Here is a 20,053-nt window from a genome sequence, read left to right on the forward strand (position 1 = left end):
AAAAAAAAAAAAAAGCACGGCAGCAACATCTGCTTGGCTTCTGGTGAGGCCTTTTGTGCTGTATCAGTATATAACTGAGAAGGTCAAAGGGAAGACAGACCAAACCCAAGGGGGTACTAGCTTTAAAACAACACACTCTCTCAGGAATGAATTATTACCCCCAAGAACCAACCCAGTCTCACAAGAGCAAGAACTCACTACGGCAAGAACAGCACCAAGCCACTCATGAAAGGTCCGCCCCATAAGCCAAACACTTCCCTCTAGGCTTCACCTCCCAATACCACCAACTGTGGAATTAAATTTCAACATGAGATTTGGTGGGGACACGCAATCCATATCCAAACCATAGCAGGACTTACCATGCATGAAGGCTCCTGAGTACAGGGAGCCTGGGGAAGCCTCTAGAAATGGGGACAAATGGAAAAGAGGTCTGCTAACATCACTTATCGAGGACCACTTTTTTTTTTTTTTTTTTGAGATGGAGTCTCACCCTGACACCTAGGCTGGAGTGCAGTGGCGTGATCTCAGCTCACTCCAACCTCCTCCTCCTGGGTTCAAGTGATTATCATGTCTCAACCACCCCAGTAGCTGGGACTACAGGCACCCGCCACCATGCTTGGCTAATTTTTTGTATTTTTAGTAGAGATGAGGTTTCACCATGTTAGTCAGGATGGTCTCGATCTCCTGACCTTGTGATCCTCCTGCCTCGGCCTCCCAAAGTGCTGGGATTACAAGCGTGAGCCACCGTGCCCAGCTAATTTTTGTATTTTTTGTAGAGACGGGGTCTTGTCATGTTGCCCAGGCTGGTCTTGATCTCCCGGGCTCAAGAGATCCACCCTCCTTAGCCTCCCAAAGTGTTGGGATTACAGGCATGAGCCACCACACCTGGCCTAGAAAACTTATTCTTGATAGGCAACATCTAACCTCTATGATCCAGGAATGCAAAGCCAAAAGGGAAGAGGCTGAGATGAAAACACAACAAAATAAGAAGGAAACTAAACAAGATAAGGAAAACTTGCTGAGAAATTTAAAATATCATTGGGTAAAGAGAGTGACCACTTCATTAACTATTATATTTCCAAGGCCTAACACATCATCTATAGGGTACCAACCTGTATTCCAAAAATTGCTTAGGCAAAGCACAGAAAGGTCATCACTTCATATCCTAAATATTGGAATATGCTGGGATCTGTGTAAAAATAGTCCTCTATTAGTAGGTTAACATATCTTGATTTTTCTGGTAATCTGATCATCTAATTACAAGCTATTAGGATTGGATGTAGTTGGGGAAAATAGGAACAGCTACAAAACAGAATAAAGTTCATTAGATCAGGGGTCCTCAAGCCCTGGGCCAAGGGCCGGTACCAGTCTGTGACCTGTTAGGAACTGGGCCAAAGAGCAGGAGGTGAGCAGCAGGCCAGTGAGCATGACCGCCTGAGCTCCACCTCCTGTCAGATTAAGAATAGCATTAGATTCTCATTGGAGCATTGATATGGGAGGGGGGTAGGGAAGTGCTGGGTAGAGAGGAGTGGGGTCCCTGGCAAGGCTCCACCCTCAGGCCTGTGCCCACAGACCTATGTGAGGACAGGCATTCCTGTTTTAGCACCCAAATGTTGCATTTTCCAAAACCATTCTGGCCCACTACACCCCCCATCCTGTGCCTATAAAAACCCTGAGACCCCAGCAGGCACACACACAAGCAGTTGGACATCAAGAGGAACACACTGGCAGAAAAACGCACTGACAGATGCTGGCAGGCCATTGATGATGGAACGACACGGACACCAAGGGGAAGTCAGCAGAGGTCAGAGGAGAGCCCGGCCACTAAGCAGCCCGACTCTAGGAGAAGAGCACCTTCCCACTCTATCCCCCTTCTGGCTCCCCATCCATCTGCTGAGAGCTACTTCCCACCATTCAATAAAGCCTTGCCCCCATCCTCCAAGCCCACTTGTGATCCAATTTTTCAGTACACTAGGGCAAGAACCCGAGATACAGAAAGCCCTCTGTCTTTGCGATAAGGCAGAGAATATAATTGAGCTAATTAACACAAGCTGCCTGAGGATGGCTAAGCTGAAAGAGCACGTGGTAACGGATGCCCACTGGGGCTTTGGGAGCTGTAAACACTAACCCCTAGACTTGCCCGTCTGCACACTCCCCCTAGGGGTTTGAGCAGCAGGGCACTGAAAAAGTGAGCCACACCCCCATTGCATGCCCTGCGAGGTAGATAAGGAAAAACTTTTCCCATTTCAGCGTGAACCCTATTGTAAACTGTGCACGTGAGGGATCTAGGTTGTGCACTCCTTATGAGAATCTAACTAGCCTGATGATCTGAGGTGGAACAGTTTCATCCCACTACATCCCCCCACCCCCAACCCCCATCCGTGGAAAAATTGCCTTCCATGAAACCAGCCCCTGGTGCCAAAAATGTTGGGGACCGCTGCCTAAAATCCTATAGAGATAATTCTGTCACTGGCCCTTATTAGGGTTATGCCCTGAAAAGCTAATAAGTTAATGGCATTTCTCCAAAGTTAGAGAATCATAGAAAGCCGTTTAAAACCATTGGGGTCAGTACTTCTTTTGGTTTGGACATATACTTACATGCCTTCCTCTTGTTCAAGATAACTCCCTGCACTATCAGTACCTTTCCATCATGTTGGTTAAAGGATATAATCGAACCCGACCACCGCTGGTCTTCGCTGGACACCATGAACCACACTGTCCAAACCTTCTTCTCTCCTGTCAACAGCGGCCAGCCCCTCAACTATGAGATGCTCAAGGAGGAGCATGAGGTGGCTGTGCCAGGGGTGCCCCACAACCCTGCTCCCCCGACGTGATCCACATCTGCAGCGAGACCTCCATGCCCAACCATGTTGTCTGGTCCCTGTTCAACACCCTCTTCATGAACCCCTGCTGCCTGGGCTTCATAGCGTTCACCTACTCCATGAAGTCTAGGGACAGGAAGATGGTTGGCGACCTGACCGGGGCCCAGGCCTATGCCTCCACCGCCAAGTGCCTGAACATCTGGGCCCTGACTTTGGGCATCCTCATGACCATTCTGCTCATCGTCATCCCAGTGTTGATCATCCAAGCCCATTGATAGATCAGGAGGCATCACTGAGGCCAGGAGCTCTGCCCATGACCTGTATCCCATGTACTCCACCTTCCACTCCTTGCCCTGCCCCGGAGCCAAGTCCTGTATCAGCCCTTTATACTCACACACTTTTCTACAATGGCATTCAATAAAGTGTATATGTTTCTGGTGCTGCTGCGAAAAAAAAAAAGGATATAATCATTTAACAATACTTCATCCTGTTCAGAGTGTTCTCACATCCATCATGTCATCAGAGCCTCACAGCAGTCCTGAAAGGAAATAGATCAGGTGTCTGCCTGTGTCCATGCTGGAGAAGTCAGTGCAGAAAGAAAGAAAAAGATGACTGTGGCTTCCCAAGGCAGCAGGGGAAAGGATGGTAGATTCGTGCCTCTCATCATAAACCTTTGCTCCCTTTTGAGCCACTATGAAACTTCAGAACACAGTGCCCAAATCTAACACCTGAGTCATGGAAACCTTAGTCTACAAACACATCCAGGACTTCCTCACAAGAGACTGGCTGAGAAACTGCTCAAATGACAGTTTGCAAAGATCCTTAAAAACAAATCAACAAGGCCGGGTGCAACAGCTCACGCCTGTAATCTCAGCACTTTGGGAGGCCGAGGTGGGCAGATCACCTGAGTTCAGGAGTTCGAGACCAGCCTGGCCAACATGGTGAAACCTCATCTCTACTAAAAATACAAAAAAATTAGCCGGGCGTAGTGGCACACGCCTGTAATCCAAGCTACTCAGGAGGCTGAGGCAGGAGAATCACTTGAACCTGGGAGGTGGAGGTTGCAGTGAGCCAAGATCACACCACTGCACTCCAGCCTGGGCAACAAGAAAGAGACTCCATCTCAAACAAAAACCAAAAACAAATCAACAAAAACACAGTCAATCTCAGGTACTGTGGGGAAGGGAGGTATAGGAGGGGTATGGAAGGGTGGTTCTAGATTGTTGATGTGTTGCATTTCTTGAGCTGAATGTTGGCACGTGGATGTGCTCAAATTGTGACAGTTCATTGAGCTATGTCCTTAAAATTGTGCACGCTTCGGTGTCAAGGTTGTGCTTCTGTAAAAATAGAGATTTTTAGAGGCACAGACACCTTACTAATTCCATGCTCACCTTTGCCTCTGTTTTTGTCTCTCGGTTTTTGCATTCTTCTTCTCTCCTTTCCCAGGGTGAATCACCCCACTTGTTAAAATTGTACTACAGCAAATGTTAGTAAATTATGTGCCTTGTGGTGGTGATGAAGTCAAATCAAACACATTTGTCACTGGAGAGATGGCCTCCAGCTGTTTCTCTGGGAAATATAATTGAATACTAATGGAATAAACACTAGAAGTTGCCAGTTTTATTTTTACTATAGGTGCAGGCTAAAATATGAGAGAGTGAATTTCACTGAGTTTAAAATACAAACAGAATTTTAAAAATACACAATAGTTCTTCCAAAGAATTTAACATGGGTGATTTCAAAATCAATTCCTCTTACTCCATCCATAAAGAAACACAGAGGATGCTCTTATTTACATAGTACAACTGGGTCTTTATTTTAAGCCCAAACTTACTATGTTCACTACTGATATATGAACTTACCCCTGCATTTCATATTGCATTTGCTCAATTTGCACTTTCCAAAAATACTTGTTATATTGCTTACCTTTGAGCCACACTCACTGCCAAATAGAAGTTTTAAAGATTTCAACCAAAATGAACTGGGCACAGTGGCTCATGCCCATAATCCCAGTGCTTTTGGAGGCTGAGGCAGGAGGATCACTTGAGGTCAGGAGTTTGAGACCAATCTGGGCAACATAGTGAGAGCTCGTCTCTACCAAAAAAGATTTGTTTTAATTATCTGAGCCACCTCACACCTGTAGTCCCAGTTACTCAGAAGGCTGAAGTAGGAGGATCACTTGAGCCTAGGAGTTCAAGGTTACTGTGAGCTATGATTGAGCCACTGCACTCCAGCCTAGTTGACAGAATAAGACCTTGTCTCAAAAAATATACCTATATTGGACAAAAGTGATAATGAGTTTTGAAAATATTTAAGTGACTCAAAAAGTGGATTTATGATTTAGAAGACAATGACATTGCAAATAGAAGTAAAATGTTTGTGTAAAATTTAACACATTTTAAACATGTCTGATGACATCCTATAATACTTCTGGAACATCCTGCATGCTCTCCAAATTGAACCACAAACTTAGGTCCCACTTTGAGGATGCCTGTCATCCTAGAGAGGTGAGATACAGCAAACACAGACCCAATAAAGACACCAAGGCATTAGTGCGGTTCATTGTTATCAAGCATCTTTTGACTTTTGGTTTACCTAGTTGCAAAGGTGTGAGGTCGAGCTTCCACAATCCCTTCTTTGGACAAAGCCACTAACACAGAGAGCAGTTAAGCAACACATCCAAGCTTCCAAGACTGAAATCCAGGTTCCCAGGACTGTTTCGTGACTGTCCATGAAGATAGTTAGAAATCACAAGGTCGGTCGGGTGCCATGGTTCATGCCTGTAATCCCAGCACTTTGGGAGGCTGAAGCGGGTGGATTACATGAGTCCAGGAGTTGGAGACCAGCCTGGCCAACATGGCTAAACCCCGTCTCTACTAAAAATACAAAAATTAGCTGCATGTGGTGTCACACATCTGTAATCCCAGCTACGTGGGAGGCTGAGGCACAAGAATCACTTGAACTTGGGAGGTGAAGGTTGCAATGAGCTGAGATCATGCCACTGCACTCCAGCTTGGGAGACAGAGTGAGACTCTGCCTCAAAAAAAAAAAAAAAAAAAAAAAAAGAGGCGGGGCATGGTGGCTTACGCCTGTAATCTCAGCACTTTGGGAGGCTGAGGGGGGCAGATCACAAGGTCAGGAGTTGGAGACCAGCCTGGCCAACATGGCGAAACCCCGTCTCTACTAAAAATACAAAAACCAGCTGGGTATGGTGTCACACACCTATAATCCCAGCTACTTGGGAAGCTGAGGCACGAGAATTGCTTGAACCTGGGAGGCAAAGGTTGCAGTGAGCCGAGATCATGCCACTGCACTCCAGCCTGGGATACAGAGTGAGATTCTGTCTCAAAAATAAAAAAATTAAAAAATAAAAAAAGAAAAAGAAAAGAAATCACACAGGTCAAGCATTCATGAATCACAGTGGTAGTGCAACAGGAGGCAAAATATGCTTGTATTGGGGATGCTGTCATAGACATGCACTGAATGTTGGAGGTGCAGCTGACCAAGACCCAGGACCAAACCCATCAATGATGGTAGCAGTCGTCAGAAGGAGATGCAATGGAGTAAGCAATAGGCAGTCTACATTGGGGGACAGTCAGTATTTGCAAAGCATGACACTAGGCTATTATTATCAGAGGTCTTGCAGAAAGGCAGAGCCTTGGATCAAGAAAGTCCATCGTGATGCAGGCAATAGGGTCTAACTTCCAGGAGAGCTACAAGTGTTCTGGATGAGGCTGAGTACTGGGCTCAGGAGACCTTGCAGGGTTCCAAGACCACCCACAGTCAGAAATCAAACAGATTCCATTACAGGTATGTATTAAGGTGTTCACTTTTTTTAAATTAAATTTAATTTAATTTAACTTTTTGAGACAGAGTTTTGCTCTTGTCGCCCAGGCTGGAGTGCAATGGTGCGATCTCGGCTCACTGCAACCTCTGCCCTGTGGATTCAAGTGATTCTCCTGCCTCAGCCTCCCGAGTAGATGGGATTACAGGCTAATTTTTATATATTTTTTATAAAGATGGGGTTTCACTATGTTGGCCAGGCTGGTCTAATTTTTGTATTTTTGTATTTTTAGTAGAGACGGGGTTTCACTATGTTGTCCAGGCTGGTCTTGAACTCCTGACCTCAGGTGATCCGCCTGCCTTGGCCTCCCAAAGTGCTGGGATTACAGGTGTGAACCACCACGCCTGGCAAGGTGTTCACTTTTCTAACCTCTCCCTTATATATGTGAGTGTGTATATATGTGCATGTGTGTGTGTACATATATGTACACACATACACACATATGTGTACATATATACACACATACACACATATGTGTACATATATACACACATACACACATATGTGTACATATATACACACACACATGTGTACATATATACACACATATACACATGTGTACATATATACACACATATACACATGTGTACATATATACACACATACACATGTGTACATATATACACACATACACATGTGTACATATATACACACATACACATGTGTACATATATACACATGTGTACATATATACACATGTGTACATATATACACATGTGTACATATAAATATATACACATGTGTACATATAAATATATACACATGTGTACATATAAATATATACACATGTGTACATATAAATATATACACATGTGTACATATAAATATATACACATGTGTACATATAAATATATACACATGTGTACATATAAATATATACACATGTGTATATATAAATATATACACATATATACACATGTGTGTACATATATACACATATATACACATATATACACACGTGTACATATATACACATATATACACATATGCGTATATATGTGTGTATATGTACACACGTGTGTATATATGTGTAAATATGTACACACATGTGTATATATGTGTAAACACACACATGTGTATATATGTGTAAATATACGCACATGTGTATATGTGTGAATATACGCACATGTGTGTATATATGTGTAAATATATACACATATGTGTATATATAAATAAACATGCGTATATATGCACACATATATGTATATGTGTGTGTATATATGTATATATGTGTATGTACATGCACATATATACTGAGCATGGTGGCATACATACACACACATACACACACACACACACACACACACACACACACACACACATATTCGAGTCAGGGTCTCTGTCACCCAAGCTCTGGCATGCAGTGGTGCAATCACAGCTCAGCTCACTGTAGCCTTGACCTCCCAGGCTCAGACGATTCTCCCACCTCAGCCTCCCACGTAGCTGGGACTACGGATATGTGCCACCACACCTGGCTAATTTTTAATTTTTTTGTAGAGACAGGGATTCGCCACATTGCCCAGGCTGGTCTTGAACTCCTGAGCTCAAGCAATACTCCCGCCTCAGCTCTCAAAGTGCTGGGATCACAAGCGTGAGCCACTGTGCCCAGTCCTCTCTCCCATATAGTTTTGCATTTAACCTATCACATCCCCCTGCTGAGAAAGGCTTGTCCAAACAAGTCAACACCAGGAAGGGAGAGAGAGAGGAGACAAGTAATCAGTTCTTTACCCCACCACCTCTCCTGGATGACTGCTTGCCTCTTTCTCTCTGGTTAACATGAGCCTGTTCACTGAGCCACAATTTTCAGAAAAATTCAATCTCCTTGAATTAGAACCAGAGAAACACATTGTTCATCAATATTTTTTGCTCCACAAATCAGCCTTACCTTCCCCCTTCAACCATCTTTCCATCCAAAGTTATTTTAAAATACACACAAACGGGAAAAAGCAGCCCAGCATGCATGCTAATTACACTGTGTTCATTTCTCCTCAAGCACAGCCTACTAACAGAATCACGTTTCACATTTGTTTCACTCTCTGTTCTATTCTGTAATGCAGTTGTTAGACTCTTGCTTGGCAGACACAGCAGAACCAACAGGATTACATACTTCACATCTGGAAATACTCCACAATCATTATAGACTAAAATCTGTGCTGGGTTTCTTCCCTCCTATGCCAACCAGGTAAAACAAGAAAGAGAGAAGGATACATTTGCTCACCCAGAGAAGCCCCATCAGAGAAACTGCCAGGATCATGGAAATCAGATGTTCTCAGGGCCGGTGACTTATTCTGGATGTGAAACCTACATGTGGCAAGTAAGCAAAGAGAACACTTGGAAAGGCTTAGGTGATAGGCTTTTAATGCTGTCAAGGGAACCATTCAAATCCTCCAATTCGTGAGTACTATGCCAGCACATTTTTTTCTTCAAAAACTGGAGCACAACTCCAGACCCTAAATGAGGTAGAGTCATAGAGAGACTAACTAACCAACCAATACTCAAATTCGAAGAAGTCAGCTGGGCTTACTGGGGTCGTCGTTCTCACCACAGGTCTCACATAGGGCAGGTTTCTGATTCCCGCCTCTGCACAGATTTGTGCAATGCAAGGAGTTATGGGGCCACTTGATAATGAAACCCACAAAAGTGAAATTGTCACAAGGAAGAACTTAGCATCGTGGTGCTCAACCTTTGACGTGCATCAGAATGGCTCTTTGAATGTCCGGGTGCAAACCTATCCAGTTGGAATCTTTGAGGATGGGATCCAGGTGTGCCCAATTGTAAATGACGGCAGGCATGAGTTGGCTGTGCCCCCTCCTCTTTTCAGAACAATGGTTTTTCAGAAAATATTGATATGCAGTTTCATTTATTTTTACATCTCACTCTACCATCTGTGATGAGTGATTTCTTTTTTGGACAGGACTTCATCACAGAAATATTCCATGGGAGGCCATCTCACTGTAGATTAAAATGTAGTGAAAAATGCAAGTGTCATATCTCCATGCCGAATCCATTAGCTCTTATTTCCAGCCCTTTCTCACCTCATCTCAACTCCAGTTGACTCACAGCCAATATAGAAAAGGCAATAGCTTTATGAAATCTAGTGTCCACATCTCAGGATTCAAATGCATAGAATATTCCCTACCAAAAAGGAGCCAAGATTGTACAATCCTTATAAAATATGTGCACGTGGACCCAAGCCAGATGCAAATCATGACCTGGCCCTTTTTGGAGAGCTGGCTTTGGTGCAGGGAAAAGAGCCCAAGCCCGAGAGTTCAAAGACCCAAAGCCATTTCTGTTTTCACCACTTAACAGCTTTAGGGCTCTGGGCAAAGCAACCTCCTCTGAAAGCCTCAGCATCTTCAACTTGAAACAGGGTTGTAATAAAAGTGTATAGTTTTCCATATAAAGACAAGGTCCTGCTATGTTGCCCAGGCTGGTCTCAAACTCCTGGCCTTAAGTTAATATTCATGCACTCATCTTCCCTCCCTATCTTCACCTTCTAATCTGCTCCATCCTCAGACTAGAAGCCTCACCAGGAGCACTGGAAGAACTTGTGGATGAGACAGAGCTTCACCCTTGGTTGGTGCTGCTTTGCTCTTAACTGTTCCTTGACCCAGTTTTGTGACATTACTTCTGCTCTCTATGGCAAGCCTTGCTGGCTCTGACTGTGGCTATTCGATCCCCCTCCTGACAATCTCAGATCTGAACTGGTGCAGGAAGGAGAACTAACTCCCTCCAGGCCTTGCTCTGACATTCAGCCTCAGTTTCCCATCACCTAGGTGCCTCTGCCCCCACTTCTAGGAGCATATTCTGATACCTAGGCTTGCATCTTGTTCACCCAAACCAGGATCTACCCGGAGTCTCACCTTTTCATTTGTTTTCTGTTTTAGTCCAGCTCCTAGTCACCCATTTAGCACTCTAATTCTCATCTCGGACTGAAGCGCTAACCTTCAATCCCAACCCAGTCAGTGAGTGACTCAGCCTGTTGCCTATGGAAAAGCCTTTTTCATTTATTTACTTTTTGTTTGTTTTGTTTTTTAGAGGCACAGTCCTGCTCTGTCACTCAGGCTAGAGTGCAGCACAGCACTCAGGCTAGGTATGATCATAGCTCACTGCAGAGTCCACCTCCTGGGCTCAAGCGAGCCTCCCACCTCAGTCTCCTGAGTAACTGAGAACACAGGCATGTGCCATTGTGCCCAACTAATGTTTTTTATTTTTTGAAGAGACAGGATCTTGCCATGTTGCCCAGGCTGGTCTCAAATTCCTGGCCTCAAGTGATCTTCCTGCCTTGGCTTCCCAAAGTGCTGGGATTACAGGCATGAGCCACCATACCCAGTCCCAGAGAGGCCTTCTTAATGCCAAGAGTCTGCAGGAATATCCAGCTAGATACACCCCATCCCCTTCCCAGGTGCTCTATTTCTGTGCACTGCCCACCTGCCAATCTTGTACAAGCAGCAACTAGAGATTGCCTTACTTTTTTTCTCTCTGCTGCTGCAGTCCCTGCAGCTAGGCTGATGGCCCCAGACTCTGGCTCACCCCTGGAGGCGGGCTTGGTACGAAGACCCAACCCCCTTCCAGCCTGGCTCACCCTTCCCATCCCTGGTCAACGAAGTCCCACTCCTTACTCTGAGCCTTGCCCTCACAACCTGTTGCCTCCACCCTAATTTTAAAAAATGCACACCCCACCTTGACTTAGAGTACCACCCCATCTGGGGCCATCCGTATGCCAGGGGCACTGAACCCTGCCGACCACTCCCTCTTTGAACAGTTTATTATACCCTTGGTGACTGTATTCTTTGCTTTTGTTGCTATAACAAGTTACCACAAACTTAGTGGTTTAAAGGATACAACTGTATTATCTTTATTTATAAAGAAAGGGTGATAATGTGAGCTATGGGGAATGGCTGTAAATACAGATGAAGCTTTGCTTGCTCACTGGCCCAGTTCCTAACAGGCTACATACTGGTACCTTCCTTCCTTTCCTTCCTTTCATCCATTCATCCATCCTTCATTTCTTTTTTTTTTTTTTTTTTTTTTTTTTGGAGATGGAGTCTTGCTCTGTCACCCAGGCTAGAGTGCAGTGGCACGATCTCGGCTCACTGCAACCTCCGCCTCCCAGTAGACTGCAAGACCAGTGTTCCCAGGGGGTGGTGAGCCCCAAAACAAAGTAAAAAAATAGCGCATGTCAGAGCCTCAACAAGGGGACCTCTGGACATGGTTTTGTCCCTCCTGGGTGCAATGAGCAAAAAGAGACAAGTTCATTCTTGCAGGAGAAATCAACATGGACAAGCAGAGGAAATAAACACGTATTAATTTTTTACTAATCTTCCTTTTCTGATATGTAAATAGTCCCATTTTCCCACATCTTACTTTCCTAGTACCTTCTCCATGAAAGAAAAAAAAATTACTTAAACATAACACAGGGAAGAAAATTACAGAGGATAAGAATGTAAATGGCTATCCCTTACTGAGAACTTATCGGGAATTTTGTAGAGCACAGTAAGTGAAATATTAAATATCCCATTTAGTCCCCACAAAGAGCCAGTGAAGTATTTTAAAAATCAAACGAAGAAAGTATGGCCTTGGAGGTTAAGTAACTCACCATGTTCATACCACTGTAAAAGAGGCTGAGCCCAGACTTGAACCAAAGTCTGCCTGACAATGATGTCCATGCATCTTGAGATAAGACAGAAGGCAGATGTTAAAGAATAAAGAGCATGAAAAAGCAAACAGGCAATAGCTTCTCTTCTTCCATAAGGCAACACTCACACTTTCTGGTGTCTTTCAATTTTTTTTTTTTTTTTTTTTGAGATGGAGTCTCTCTCTGTTACCCAGGCTGGAGCACAGTGGCTCGAACTTGGCTCGATCTTGGCTCACTGCAACCTCCACCTCCTGGGTTCAAATGATTCTCCTGCCTCAGCCTCCCCAGTAGCTGGGATTATAGGCTCGCACTACCATGCCCAGATAACTTTTTTTTCTGGACACAGTCTCGCTCTGTCATCCAGGCTGGAGTGCAGTGGTGCAATCTCAGCTCACTGCAACCTCCACCTCCCGGGTTGAAGCAATTCTCCTGCCTCAGCCTCCCAATTAGCTGGGATTACAGATGAGCATCACCACACCCAGCTAATTTTTTTTTCGTATTTTTAGTAGAGATAGGGTTTCACCATGTTGGCCAGGCTGGTCTCAAACTCCTGACCTCGTGATCCACCGGCCTCACCCTCCCAAAGTGCTGGGATTACAGACGTGAGCCACCGCACCCAGCATATTTTTGCAGTCACCCTGTTGTGCTGTCAAATACTAGGTCTTACTCATTCTATCTAACTATATTTTTATACCCATTAACCAACTCACATACCCCCACTACCCTTCCCTTCCCAGCTTATAACCATCCTTCTACTCTCTAGCTCCATGAGTTCAATTGTTTTATTTTGTTTTGAGATGGAGTGGCATAAGCCACTGTGCCCAGCCAAGTCCAGTTATCAAATAATTTTTTATTAAGAGCCTACCATGACCAGGGCAATGTCAGGCACTAGAGATACCATGATGAACAGGACAGACATGCTCTCTACTCCAATAGCTTAAAATCCATTAATCATTCCATTTCATTGGGGACGCTGGCAACGTAGAAAGTGCTCAGGAGAAGGCAGATGGGAACAAGGTCAATAAACCATATGATGAGCTTAGCAAAAAAATACTGGTAATTTCTGCCACTGGGTGATGGGTATGGGCGGAAGGGGTCATATTAGAATTCTTTCTATTTTGAGGTGTTTTGGAAACTTCCATAAGTCATGTGGAGTTGGCATGCTGAAATGAGGTAAGCATGATGAGTGTTGCCCGAAAGGATACCCCTTAAATTTTTAGCACTTTCCAAACCAATGTGGTCACAACCAATGCTAACAGGCGTGGTGTGAAGTAGGCAGGCAAGGTAATAACTATGCTTATTTTATGAATGAGGAAAAGACTAGATTCGACTCATAGAGGCTTGGAGTTAGAAGGGACTTAAGCCTGCTGTCAGTTTTCCATCCTAATGTTTAACTTGACAATGATCCCACCCAGCACAACACATTACATCAAAAGTTATAGGAAGGGCCAGGCGCAGTGGCTCACACGCCTGTAATTTCAACACTCTGGGAGGCCTAGGCAGCCAAGCGTGGTGGGTGGTGGGGGGGACGATGAGGACGGGGGTGGGGGAGCGGGGAGGAGGTTGGTGGAGCGGAGGGGGACGTGGGTGGGCGGGGTGGGCAGTGGTGGTAGCTGGGGCGGGGTGGTGAGCCCGCGCCTTGGAGGGGCTGGGAAGGCCAGCGTGTTGGGGGAGGCGCCTGGGCCTCTGGGACTGGGCCTGGCTGCGTCAAGGTGGGGCTGACATGAAGTCCCCTTCATCTGTCCGGGGTGGCCCGTCCTTCTGGGAGAGGATCCCTCACAAGATGACTTCCCAGGTCGCGCTCCGAGGCGGCTCTTTGCGGACCCCACAGAGATGCCTTCTGGGCTCCTGGGGCCAGCGGGGAGGGGCAGGTGAGGCCCAGAGCTAGGTGAGGCCCAGGGCTGGGTGAGGCCAGGCCCTTCTAGGAATGTTGGTGCTCCTAGCACCCAGAGGTTTCCAGGGGAGTGGCCCGAGTACGTCCCCGCCTAATTCTGGAGCCGTCCCTTCGGCTGCGCAGTGGAGCGCCGACGTGACGGCTGCAGGGAGCCAGGGCGGCCACGCACCGTCTGCAGTCAGGAAGTCCCAGGCGGCGTGCAAGGCGGTTGCGGCGTGCGGGCCGCCGACCTGCGGAGTGCGCGGGTTGGGCTAGGGGCTGTCCCTGGAGCGCCGGGTGGCCCTGGGTCCCGCACACCCACTTGCTGGCGGGGGGGTGGCGCAGACATAGGCCACCCCGAGGGTGGTCCCCCCGAGGGCGCTCCTCACGGGTGGTCCAGGCTAGCTCGGACCTGGCAGTGGGGGAGTGGCGCAGAGCTGCGTGGAAAGGCGCGGGGCGCCTGCGTGGCGAAGGAACTCAGCTGCCTGACACGCCCGCAAGTACCACGGACCTGCTCCGGCCTCGGCCTCTGCGGGCCAAACGCGGAGCGAGGCGTGAACGCCGGGCGGGGGCGTGGCGTCCGGTGGGGATGTGTCAGCCGGGGGTGGGGGGGGGCGGGGGGGCGTCCTCTCCAGGGGGCGTGGCTCTGTGCTCCGGTGAAGGCCAGAGGCACTCCCTGGGCTGGGCGGAAGCGCGACTGACCGTGGCCTTGGGCAGGCGGTGGCTGCAACGAGGAGGAGCTGGGGTCGCAGTGGGTTGCGGCGCCGAGCCCGGACGGAAGCGCCGAGGGGCCGGGGTCGCCAAGGGCTGCTGCGGCCCTTCCCGGAGCCCAGTGCTGGGCACGCAAGGCGCTGGCTCAGGCGCACCCAGTGGCCGCAGCTGCAGCGGGAGGAGCGCGGCGGCGCGGGGTCCTCGGAGACAGCGTTTGTCCGAGAAGCCTTCCTGGGGCGGTGGGTGGGAAGTGGGGGCCGGAGCTGCAGCGGGAGGCGTCCTGTCTCCTCAGGTCGGCACCATGCCCCTGCAGCCCTGAGCGGGGCCCTGCTGGGCTGCCTCTGCCTGGCATTGCTTTTCCTGGGCGGTGCGGACAAGCGCCTGCGTGATAACCATGAGTGGAAAAAACTATGGTCCAGCACTGGCCTGAGACAGTATGCGAGACAGTTGAAAACGACTGTAGAGACCCTCCGGATTACTGGACAATACATGGGACTATGGCCCGATAAAAGTGAAGGATGTAATGGATCGTGGCACTTTAATTTAGAAGAGATTAAGGATCTTTTGCCGGAAATGAAGGCATAGTGGCCTGATGTAATTCACTCGTTTCCCAATCGTAGCCACTTCCGGAAGCATGAAGAAGCATGGGACCTCTGCCGCCCTGGTGGACGCACTCAACTCCCAGAAGTACTTTAGCAGAAGCCGGGAACTCTACAGGGAGCTGGACAGCAACAGTGTGCTCCTAAAACTGCGGCTAAAACCATCCGTCAATTACTACCAAGTTGCAGATTTTAAAGATGCCCTTGTCAGAGTGTATGGAGTGACACCCAAAATCCAGTGCCTTCCGCGAAGCCAGGATGGGGAAGTACAGACAATTGGTCAGACAGAACTTTGCCTCACTGAGCAAGGCCAGTAGCTGCAAAACTGCACCGAGCAGTGCAGGTTTGGGGGGTGGGGGGGTAGTGGCGGGAAAGCAGCCGTCCCCCAAGTAGGAAGTTTGGCTGGCGGATGGGGCTGCCAAGAGCCGGGGTCTGAGGGTATGTGAAGATGGCCCAGTCTTTTATCCCCCACCTAAAAAAAAACAAGCATTGATGCCCAAGTTTGGGAAATATTCTGTTTTAAAAAGCAAGAGAAATTCACTTTCTGCAGCTTTCTAAAAAACAACAAAACAAAACAAACACAAAAAAACTGCAATTACTTTTGCACCAACCTAACAGTATATCTATAGATATGTCAGCTATATTATATATAGCATATAATGTGTATATAACATATACTATGTATATCATGTATATTATATATAATGTATATAATGTATATATATTATATGTAATGTATATAATACGCACATATATAATGTATATGTAATGTGTATATATTTATATATGAGAGGAGATTTATCATGGGAATTGGCTCACAGGATTATGGAGCCTGAGAAGTTCCACCATCCGCCACGTGCAACCTGGAGACCCAGGAAAGCCCCTGGTGTAATTCAGTCTAAGTCTGAAGACCTGAGAATCAGGGGAGCTGATGATGTTAACTCCAGGTTTAAATCTGAAGGCCTGAGAACTGGGGATGCTGCTGATGTAATAGGACTTACATCCTATTCAAAGGCCCAAGAACCCAGAGCTCTGATGTCTGAGAGCAGAAGATGGATGTCTCAGCTCAAGAAGAAAGTTAATTTGCCCTTTCTCTACCTTTTTGTACTGTTCGGGCCCTCAATGGAATGGATGGTGTCCTCCCACATTGGTGAGGGCCAGCCTTCTTTACTCAGTCTACTGATTCAAATGCTAATCTCTTCCAGAAACATCTTCACAGATGCACCTGGAAATAATGTTTTACCAGCCATCTGGGCATCCCTTACCCCAGTCAAGTTGACACATAAAAGTAATCATCACATTGGTATATGAAGAGGATTAAGTCACTCAGTTTTGAATAGGTTTGTGAGTGCTGAACTTTCTTTGTCAAGGCTGATTCGAGTTCATAATGATCTGCTCACTGTGTCCCTGGAGAAGAAGTAACAGGGGAAATGATGCTCATGGACTGTCATGGTCGTTACTAGAGACTAGATATTTCTTGTATTCTTTATAGGGGTGTGATACAGTGATTGAGGGCATCTCCTGTGGAGTTAGACAGTCTGACATTACTGTTCCAGCTCTGTCATTTGCTTGCTCTGTGACTGTGGGTCAATTTCTCAACATTCTAAAGTCCTGCTTGCCTCATCTAAAACATATTAATATTTTACTTGAGAATTGCTGTAAAGTTCTGACAAGATAATGCATGTAACTAGCAAATAGTGAATGTCTGGTCAATAGTATTATCTTAAAGTAGAGACATCTTAGAGACATAAAATTATATACACAAGTGCACACATACATGTAATTACATACACATATACACACACATAATTACATACACATATATACGTACACATTTTTACATTAATGACATGGTGTTTCATAGCCTGTTTTTACTCAATACTATACCATGAATATCTTCCCAGAAAAATGTGTAGCTTTCTACCACTGTTTAAAGAACTGATAGTATGGATTTACCCATTGTATGGATTTACCATAGTTTAATTCGTCACAACTGATGGACATTTAGGTTGTTAGACAACTCTGCCTTTTAGCAAGACACAGAGATACGACATAACTAAGACTTCAGTTACCTTGACCCATCCACAGCCCTAACTCATCTTATGTTTCTTTCCATTTCCAGCCTCCGACTCATCTCTTTGCCTTCTGAATTCTCACTCATTCCTTGCTCTGGTGGTAATCTCCCTTCCTCATGATGTTATTCCTGTAGCAAACACAAGACCCTCCCTGGCATTGACCCATTCAAGACCCTGGTTTCCCATGGTTCTAGGTCCAGCCAGCATGAGTCCACATGGCCAGCATTTCTATTGGGTTTATCCAAACTTACAAAAAGGAACTGACTGTTAGGAAAGCCACCGACATTGTTGTAATGGTGGAATCATTCTACATCTCTAAATAAAATGCTACAGAACCTTTAGGGCTAGCAGCCATCTCAGAGGACTTCTGATGCAATCTTTCTCCTATGGACTACCTCAAAGAGAATAACCCTAAACCCAGATGTGATGATAAAAGGTGAAAAGTGATGTTTTACAAGGCAGAAAAAGAGATAGTGGAATTTAGAATAGGGGAAACAGGCTAGTCTCTGATTCAGAACCTAGGGCTGCAAAAGCCTTAATTGTTACAGAAAATGGTAATAAAAGGATTTCTTTTCTATGAAAATATACCTTACCAAGAGGCTGAACTAGAAGTCTTCCAACCTGTCTTCTAGTGATCCCAAATTATCAGAGTTTATGTCTTCTATGAAAGGGGACTGGTAATATCAGATTCATAGTGTTACAAAGATTACCTAAAATAATGTACAAGACATTAATAATAATGTCTTTGTAAGAGAGACATTACTACTACTGTTATAAATATTCTTAAGAACTATAACCTCAAAGTAGCTTCCAGTATGTTTTCACATTTTGCAGGGGCTCAATATATTAAATCAATAGGCTAAACAACATAAAAGCAGCAAGTTATTAAGGAAATTACCTAATTCAAAAATTTTTTTCCCTTAGACTACATGACAATTCTAAAATTCCAGTTCTATGATTCATAATGGCCAAAAGGTGGAAACAACCCGAATGTTCATCAGCTGAAGAATGGATACATGAAATGTGGTCAATTCATGCAATGGAATAGTATTCAGCAGCGAAAAGGAATGAAGCACTGGTACATGCTACAACATGAATGACTCATAAAAACACTATGCTGAGTGAAAGAAGCCAATCAGAAAAGACCACGTGCTGTATGACTCCATTCATATTATGTTCATAACAAGGAAATCTATTGAGAAAGTAAATTAGTGGTTACTTAGAGCTGGGAAGGATGTGGGAATAGAAAGGTGATAGTGAAAGGGCATGGGGTTTTATAGGTGATGAAATAGTTCTAAAATTGTGGCTATGGTCGCACAGATCTGTGAACATACTAAACACCATTGAAATGTACAATTTCAATGGATGAATTGTATGGTATGTGAATTATATATAAATAAAGCTATTAAAAAATGATTCCCAAGTCAAAGACCCAATTCAGCCAGTTACAAAGTTAAGGCAGAGAGACAACTATTTTAGTTCACACCCTAAAAAATAAATGGGAGGGAACACCACTCCTGAGGAAGAGTCAACTGCAAAGTAAACAGGGCTCCCAGGGCTATTCCAGCCCTGTGTAAGCCAACGGGGTATTAGGCAGCAAGACCACCCATAAAGCCAACTCAGGGTCACCCAACTCCATTTATCAGTGACCTGGGACACAAGCCCATTACTGCCTCACTTGCTCTCCATCTCTGACGTGTTCTGGCTCTGCCACAGTGCATGGCTCTGACTCTTACTGCATTCGGAAACTGAATGTCTCTGACCAGGTCAGCCAGTGGGTTCCTAGGAGGTGCTGTCTCTGAAGGGCTGTTGAAATGATATGGGAAGGCTGAGGCAGGAGAAAGTGGCAGGAAAGAGTGTTTTGTGTGCCATCTGTGTGATCCAGATTTCTTGTTGCTTTTGCTCTAGTTTCTTGGGTCAGTGAGGGAAAAGTCACGTTTCTCACTTTCTTTTACAATGCCTGGGTTTCTCTCTTTGTGAAATGAGGTCTATGGAGCCCACAGATTACTGTTCCCTCTTCAGGCCTATTTGTCTTAAAGTTAATGGAAATTTCTCTGAGATCTTTATGATACCACAGGCATTTTAGAGGAAAACATAAAAAGGAGATATCAGAGCGTGCTGCCTGATGCTTTTCCATTACATTTCTTTTTTTTTTTTTTCTCTCTTTTTGAGACAGTCTTGCTCTGTCACCAGGCTGGAGTGCAGTGGCACCATCTCGGCTCACTGCAACCTCTGTGTCCTGGGATCAAGCGATTATCCTGCCTCAGCCTCCCGAGTAGCTGGAACTACAGGTGGGTGCCACCATGCCCAGCTAACTTTTGTATTTTTTTAGTAGAGACGGAGTTTCACCACATTGGCCGGGATGGTCTCAATCTCTTGACCTTATGATCCGCTCACCTTGGCCTCCCAAAGTGATGGGATTGCCTCCATTACATTTCTTAATAACAACATTAATGCTCCAAAATCCTCTATAATTATATGACGATACTGT

The 20,053-nt window shown here is 45.6% G+C and overlaps 2 pseudogenes; both read left to right on the plus strand.

The window, feature by feature from the left end:
- Nucleotides 2,674-3,261, plus strand: IFITM3P4 (IFITM3 pseudogene 4; annotated as a pseudogene).
- On the plus strand, nucleotides 14,999-16,053 carry LOC100130909 (ribonuclease T2 pseudogene; annotated as a pseudogene).

The sequence above is a fragment of the Homo sapiens genome, chromosome 7, assembly GCF_000001405.40.
Source record: "Homo sapiens chromosome 7, GRCh38.p14 Primary Assembly".
NCBI lineage: Eukaryota > Metazoa > Chordata > Mammalia > Primates > Hominidae > Homo > Homo sapiens.